The sequence below is a fragment of the Homo sapiens genome, chromosome 12 (assembly GCF_000001405.40).
Source record: "Homo sapiens chromosome 12, GRCh38.p14 Primary Assembly".
In the NCBI taxonomy this organism is placed as follows: Eukaryota; Metazoa; Chordata; class Mammalia; order Primates; family Hominidae; genus Homo; species Homo sapiens.
In genome coordinates, this window is record NC_000012.12 from 48,326,026 (window position 1) to 48,333,724 (window position 7,699).

The following is a 7,699-nucleotide window of genomic DNA, read 5'->3' on the forward strand; positions in this document are numbered from 1 at the left end:
TTCGGCTTGCCCACGGTGCGCTGCACCCACTGACCTGTGCCCACTGTCTGGCACTCCCTAGTGAGATGAACCCGGTACCTCAGGTGGAAATGCAGAAATCACCCATCTTCTGCGTCGCTCACGCTGGGAGCTTAGACTGGAGCTGTTCCTCGATTTTTTTTCATTTATTCGTTTTCCTTTGATTTCGCCTCTCCCAAAGGTTTCAACTTGGCCTCCCTTCTGATCACAGGGGCATCAGTAAACATGGTTGGTTGATTTTGTTCTTGTCTTTCATGATTACACCATTATGTACAGTCAGTCTATTTTTCTCTGGATCAGCTGACTTCAAGGGTCTGACTTCACTCATTTTCTTCCTTATTCTCAAAGCAAGCAGTTATGCCTCTTTTTTATCTGGTGTTTGCCCCATCCTGTGGCCACTGGTCTCTGCAACCAGGAAGGGTAGCTAGACCAAGAGACTATACAAATGGGAGAAATCCTGCTTAATGTGGTCCTGCCTTTCCATCTGGCAGTCCTTCCTGGGTGCACTGTCCCTGTGCTGATGCAGTAGTCCCCTGCCCATGTAAATCCTCAGGGTCACATTACTGTGCCCTGATTTTAAAGATGGGAAAAGGTACAGTGAGTGCCTTTAGATACTCTTGAATCTGAGCAGCTCTGAACTGTGATTATGGAGATAAACTAGCCCCTGCTTTATGGTGGAGATATATAATAGGGAAAGGGTCAACCTTAGAGAAAAGGAAACCTAACACAGTACTTAAGAACTTAGGCCTTAGGATTAAGTAGACTTAGGTTTGGTTCCAAACTCTACCACTTGCTACCGTGTCACCACTTACAGCTCTGTCATTATCACTAGTTGTCCTTCCCAATGTCCCTTAACTACCTTTTCAGTCGTATCTCCTGCTACTCCCCTTCTCATTGTCTACCCTCTCCCTGCCCCTCAACACACACCTGTGTTTTAACCAGATAGAACTACCTGGAAGCTTCTTAGAAGGTAAAACCTCTAGCCCTATCTTCAGACCTATGAATTGCACTTTATGAGTATCCCAGGGTATTAAATATGCACATTGAAGTTTAAGAAGCACTGGTCTGGCTGGGCGCAGTGGCTCATGCCTATAATCCCAGCAGTTTGTGAGGCTGAGGTGGGTGGATTGCTTGAGGCCAGGAGTTCGAGACCAGCCTGGCCAACATGGCAAAACCTCGTCTCTACCAATATATAAATAAATAAGGGCCAGGCGCAGTGGCTCACGCCTGTAATCCCAGCACTTTGGGAGGCCAAGGTGGGTGGATCACCTGAGGTCAGGAGTCTGAGACCAGCTTGGCCAACCAGCCTGGTGAAACCCCATCTCCACTAAAAATACTAAGATTAGCTGGGCATGGTAGCAGGAACCTGTAATCCTAGCTACTTGGGAGGCTGAGGCACGAGAATCACTTGAACCCAGGAGGCGGAGGTTGCAGTGAGCCGAGATTGCACCACTGCACTCCAGCCTGGGCAACAGAGTGAGACTTTGTCTCAAAAAAAAAAAAAAAAAATTAGCTGGATGTGGTGGCACATGCTTGTAATCCCAGCTTCTTGGGAGGGTGAGACACAGGAATTGCTTGAACCCAGGAGGTGGAGGTTACAGTGAGCCAAGATTGTGCCATTACATAGCCTGGGCTGAGCAAGACTCTGTCTCAAAAAAAAAAAAAAAAAGCACTGGTCTAAGCTACTTCCTGGAGCTTTGATTTTTAAAAGAAACTGTCACTGTCTAGCCTGTGACTGATGAATGTATGTGATTGCCCTCTGGAAAAGTATGATATGCTTGGCAATTTGAAGTATTCTTAGAATAATACTTTAAATTATTCCCAACTAAACTGTGTCCAAAATAGGTCCTTGATAAGCTAATCCTTACTTGGCCCCCTTCATTTCCAACCCTTTGAAATTCACTCTGCTCCTTTCTCCTGATCTTCTGGAAGTTTCTTTCTGAATCTAGAGAAACTCTCCTCACCAGAGAGGAATGATGTAAGCAGGCTCAATTAAATGCCCGCTGTGTATAATGAAGCATATTGTTAGGTGCAGCATGGGACATAGAAGTTCAAAGACTATAGCTCTTGAGGATATCTTTATTTAGTTGGAAATACAAGACAGAAACATTCAAAGTAAAGTAAATTTATTCCTTATATTTAGGTAGCCCTTGTTCATCTACCTCTTCTGAAATTTTGCAATAATTCTGTGATGTTGGTAGGAAGGGAATGTGATGTTAGATAAGAAGTCAGATGGCCGGCACATCCATCTGACAGCCACACCACTGATATTAAGGGATTTGTTAATGTCATATGGCTCCTAAAGAGCTAGGATATGCATCCATATCTTCCAGCTCCAAGTACGAGTTTTTTTCTTTTTAAAAAATATTGTGTCACATTATACCCTCTAATGCCAAATTCATTTAAAATAAAGAAAAAGCCATATAAGATTGCAGAAGTAATTTTGGTGGTTGTGGTAGTTAAGAGGCAAGAAATCATTTGAAAGAGTTTGGGGAGTCTTCAGTGAAGAAGGATAATGTAGCAGTACCTTGAAAGATGAGCAGGACTTATCTGGGCAGACAAAGAGGATGAGAAATCCAAGAGAGGGGATGAGATGGAAAAAAACACAGTATGTTCAAAGAATAATGATTAGACCAGTATCCTCAGGCGATGTGAAATCTAGATTGTTTCAGTACAGTTGAATGCGTCATCTAAATTTCCCAGGTGTGGGAATCAGTGTTTAGGGTAGAGGGATCACACAATTGGTTCCTTTTTTACTTCATGCTCTTGCACAGAATCCACTGTGTAGAATTAGGGAGACATGACTTCAGATACCTGACTGGTGGAATTAAAGGTGGGAGTTTCTAATCTGGGTTGTGTTTCATGGACTACCCCGTGTACTTTCTACAGGCAGTGTGTTGCTTGTTTTGGATAGTTGGGAGCAGCTTCGCTCACCTTAAGGAACTGTGGGTAGATGGTTTGCAGGACCACATACACACACAAAATAGCCGACTAAAGAAAGCGGTGGAGATCGAGATCAGTAAGTTTGATTTGGGAACAAAACCCTGGAGACTCTATAGGTAGGTGACTGTTGGGGGTGGACAGGCGCTGAAGACTTGGATTGGTTTAGACCTAGAAGGAAGTGGCATTTGATTGGTTATTATAAGTGAAAAGGGCCCCTCCCCGGGTGAGATATGCCAGCCCCATAATTAGGACCTGAAAATCTCTGCCAGGCCTGCCTTTGTGACGTGGCCCAGTCTACCTCAGCTATGGAACAGGCCTTGACTGGTGAGGCCCAAAGCCGGTGGCCCCGCAGAGGCGGGAGTGGGGCCATGGCTGAGGCGCCTGGGCCCAGTGGCGAATCCCGAGGACACTCAGCCACTCAGCTGCCAGCGGAAAAAACTGTCGGGGGACCATCGAGGGGCTGCTCAAGCTCCGTGCTCAGAGTGTCCCAGTTGGTGCTCCAGGCCATCTCCACTCACAAAGGGCTGACTCTGGCAGCTCTCAAGAAGGAGCTCCGAAACGCCGGCTACGAAGTGCGCAGGAAGAGCGGCCGCCACGAAGCGCCCAGGGGGCAGGCCAAGGCCACGCTCCTCCGGGTCAGCGGCAGCGACGCCGCCGGCTACTTCAGGGTCTGGAAGGTTCCCAAGCCCAGGAGAAAGCCGGGACGCGCGAGGCAAGAGGAGGGCACGCGCGCTCCCTGGAGGACCCCAGCCGCGCCCCGGAGCTCCCGGAGGCGCCGCCAGCCCCTTCGCAAGGCGGCCAGGAAGGCCAGAGAAGTGTGGAGACGGAACGCGAGGGCGAAAGCCAAGGCCAATGCCAGGGCGAGGAGGACCAGGAGGGCAAGGCCGAGAGCCAAGGAGCCGCCGTGTGCCAGAGCCAAGGAGGAAGCGGGAGCGACAGCGGCAGACGAGGGGCGAGGACAGGCCGTGAAGGAAGACACCACGCCGAGGTCAGGGAAGGACAAGAGGCGAAGCTCCAAGCCCAGGGAAGAGAAGCAGGAGCCCAAGAAGCCCGCACAGCGGACCATCCAGTAGCCAACGCGGGCTAAAACCGACCGGACATCTAGCGGGCAGGGGAAGACTCCACTAAAGACTTCCACAAAGACCTCCCCTAAATCTGAAGGTCTTCCTGATCCAGTTGGGAATGCATCTTGTGGGAGCAGCTTCACTCCCACCACGGACCAATGCCTTTCCCCCATAGGCCCCAAGAAGAGCGGCTGTCACACTCATTGAAATGAAATGGACCTCTAGACCACCTTGTGTCTGTTTCCTCTTTGCCGCACCTGGAAGGGAAGGGGTGGGTGGTGGTAACGTTCAGTGAAGACAGTAAATTAGCTGAGATTCTGTTCCTGCTGCAGAACTCAGAGAAATGTCTTTTAGAAGGAGAGAAAACAGAGGAAAACCAGCAGCTTAACAAGTGTTGAAGTATTGTTAGATACTCTAGCAAATCCAAATTGAGTTCTGGGGAGGAAGGCATGTTGGGAAAAGAGTAGACAGTCTTTAAGTTGAGTGGTCCCACTGATTCAAAGTGTTCTTACCTGAAATTCCTTTTAGGACAAAGTCCTCCCAAAATTGATTATAATGAGTTTGTAGTTTTTGCCTTGAATTGATAACCTATTTTAATTTAAAAGATATTCTTATGTCAATCCTCAGTTAAATAAGTGTATGAAAGCATCCAGCATAGGGCCTGGCATAGGATAGGTACTCATCACTGAGAGTTAAATATGTGTATAATTAATTCCCGATGGAGTGGTAATGTGCTATAGCAGAAAACTGCTGGACCACTATGTAGTAAGACCAAGATTCTAGTCAAAGTTCTGCTAGTCTGACCTTTGCTGAGTTATTTCTTAACCATTCATGGTCTTGGTTTTCTTCTCAGTAAAATGTTGGGATTGAGCTAAGATGATTTCTAGGTGATTTAAATGTCAGTAAAATGAAAAGGGGACTTAAACATCATGGCATAATGGTTTTCTTGACAAAATTCAGCAATAAGGAAATTATCTTCTGAGAAAGTGCCAACTCCTAAAGAGGAAATTATGAAGATTGACAGATTGCATAGCACAAATACAAGGAGATGGAGAAGGCTAGATAATGAATAGGTCTTTTGCTTTTCTTAACAATAACAACATGTATTGAGCACTGTGTAACAAGTATGAAACAAATGTATGATTTTAGTTCTGAATGCAGGGGTTAAGAAAAGTGCAGGAGTAGTTCTCATGCCATAGGCTGACAGGACACAAATGATTCCTCGGGAAGTAAAACGTCAAATTAGCTGATTGAAGGAAAGAGTAGCTGTTTTCAGCCGAAGTCAAAGGAATGGGGACATGGAAGCGGCTGGGAAGTACTTTGTATTCTTAAAGAGGTAAAAGTGGCAGTGGGAAGGTATTAGAACCTCCTGGGAGCTTTCTCCAGGTACACCTGACCAAGCTTTTCCTCAGGAGAGTCTTATATCTCCTACAAGCGGCAACAGGGTATGTGTATTTAAAACAGACCAAAAAAAAAAAAAAACACCAAAAAACCACCCTTAAGTGATGCTAATATTTACCCTTTCACACCCTTGAGAATCACTGCTTTAAGCCTATGCAAAGCCTAGTAACCGCAGAATTCTTGCAGCATTATCTCATCTATAGATGATCAGAACTTGACATTTCCCCATGTTGTAATTAAGTTTATTTTTTTTTTTAATTTATTTTTTTATTGATAATTCTTGGGTGTTTCTCACAGAGGGGGATTTGGCAGGGTCATGGGACAATAGTGGAGGGAAGGTCAGCAGATAAACAAGTGAACAAAGGTCTCTGGTTTTCCTAGGCAGAGGACCCTGCGGCCTTCCGCAGTGTTTGTGTCCCTGGGTACTTGAGATTAGGGAGTGGTGATGACTCTTAACCAGCATGTTGCCTTCAAGCATCTGTTTAACAAAGCACATCTTGCACCGCCCTTAATCCATTTAACCCTGAGTGGACACAGCACATGTTTCAGAGAGCACAGGGTTGGGGGTAAGGTCACAGATCAACAGGATCCCAAGGCAGAGGAATTTTTCTTAGTGCAGAACAAAATGAAAAGTCTCCCATGTCTACTTCTTTCTACACAGACACGGCAACCATCCGATTTCTCAATCTTTTCCCCACCTTTCCCGCCTTTCTATTCCACAAAGCCGCCATTGTCATCCTGGCCCGTTCTCAATGAGCTGTTGGGCACACCTCCCAGACGGGGTGGTGGCCGGGCAGAGGGGCTCCTCACTTCCCAGTAGGGGCGGCCGGGCAGAGGCGCCCCTCACCTCCCGGACGGGGCGGCTGGCCAGGCAGGGGGGCCGACCCCCCCCCCCACCTCCCTCCCGGACGGGGCGGCTGGCCGGGCAGAGGGGCTCCTCACTTCCCAGTAGGGGCGGCCAGGCAGAGGCGCCCCTCACCTCCCGGACAGGGCGGCTGGCTGGGCGGGGGGGCTGACCCCCTCCACCTCCCTCCCGGACGGGGCGGCTGGCCGGGCAGAGGGGCTCCTCACTTCCCAGTAGGGGCGGCCGGGCAGAGGCGCCCCTCACCTCCCGGACGGGGCGGCTGGCCGGGCAGGGGGGCCGACCCCCCCCACCTCCCTCCCGGACGGGGCGGCTGGCCGGGCGGGGGGCCGACCCCCCCACCTCCCTCCCGGACGGGGCGGCTGGCCGGGCGGGGGGGCCGACCCCCCCACCTCCCTCCCGGACGGGGCGGCTGGCCGGGCAGGGGGCCGACCCCCCCACCTCCCTCCCGGACGGGGCGGCTGGCCGGGCAGAGGGGCTCCTCACTTCCCAGTAGGGGCGGCCGGGCAGAGGCGCCCCTCACCTCCCAGACGGGGCGGCTGGCCGGGCGGAGGGCTGACGCCCCCACCTCCCTCCCGGACAGGGCGGCTGGCCGGGCGGGGGGCTGACCCCCCACCTCCCTCCCGGACGGGGCGGCTGGCCGGGTGGGGGGGCTGACCCCCCCATCTCCCTCCCGGACGGGGTGGCTGGCCGGGCTGAGGGGCTCCTCACTTCCCAGTAGGGGCGGCCGGGCAGAGGCGCCCCTCACCTCCCGGACGGGGCGGCTGGCCGGGCGGGGGGCTGACCCCCCCACCTCCCTCCCGGACGGCACGGCTGGCCAGGCGGGGGGCTGACCCCCCCACCTCCCTCCCGGATGGCACGGCTGGCCGGGCGGGGGGGCTGACCCCCCACCTCCCTCCCGGATGGGGCGGCTGGCCGGGCGGGGGGCTGACCCCCCCCACCTCCCTCCCGGACGGGGTGGCTGCCCGGCGGAGACGCTCCTCACTTCCCAGATGGGGTGGCTGCCAGGCGGAGAGGCTCCTCACTTCTCAGACGGGGTGGTTGCCAGGCAGAGGGTCTCCTCACTTCTCAGACGGGGCGGCCGGGCAGAGACGCTCCTCACCTCCCAGACGGGGTCTCGGCCGGGCAGAGGCGCTCCTCACATCCCAGATGGGGCGGCGGGGCAGAGGCGCTCCCCACATCTCAGACGATGGGCGGCCGGGCAGAGACGCTCCTCACTTCCTAGATGTGATGGCGGCTGGGAAGAGGCGCTCCTCACTTCCTAGATGGGATGGCGGCCGGGCGGAGACGCTCCTCACTTTCCAGACTGGGCAGCCAGGCAGAGGGGATCCTCACATCCCAGACGATGGGCGGCCAGGCAGAGACACTCCTCACTTCCCAGACGGGGTGGCAGCTGGGCAGAGGCTGCAAT

At 52.3% G+C, this 7,699-nt stretch overlaps 1 protein-coding gene across 1 annotated transcript, besides 1 other annotated feature; it reads left to right on the forward strand.

Annotated features, from left to right (window-relative positions):
* Positions 1-2,954: 2,954 nt before the first annotated feature.
* H1-7 (H1.7 linker histone) lies at positions 2,955-4,254 on the forward strand. Its single transcript, NM_181788.1, has one exon. The coding sequence runs from the start codon at positions 3,267-3,269 to the stop codon at positions 4,032-4,034; it is 768 nt and encodes a 255-aa protein (NP_861453.1). The 5' UTR covers positions 2,955-3,266; the 3' UTR covers positions 4,035-4,254.
* Positions 3,713-4,212: an enhancer, noted in NCBI's record as "H3K27ac hESC enhancer chr12:48723521-48724020 (GRCh37/hg19 assembly coordinates)". NCBI's record gives its function as "activates a minimal SCP1, AML or CMV promoter by ChIP-STARR-seq in primed H9 embryonic stem cells {active_cell/tissue: H9 hESC(primed)}" and the evidence as "EXISTENCE:reporter gene assay evidence [ECO:0000049][PMID:30033119]".

What these genes read in the sequence shown, in the direction of transcription:
- H1-7 (NM_181788.1), top strand. Translation starts at nt 3,267, where the DNA reads ATGGAACAGGCCTTGACTGGTGAGGCCCAAAGCCGGTGGCCCCGCAGA.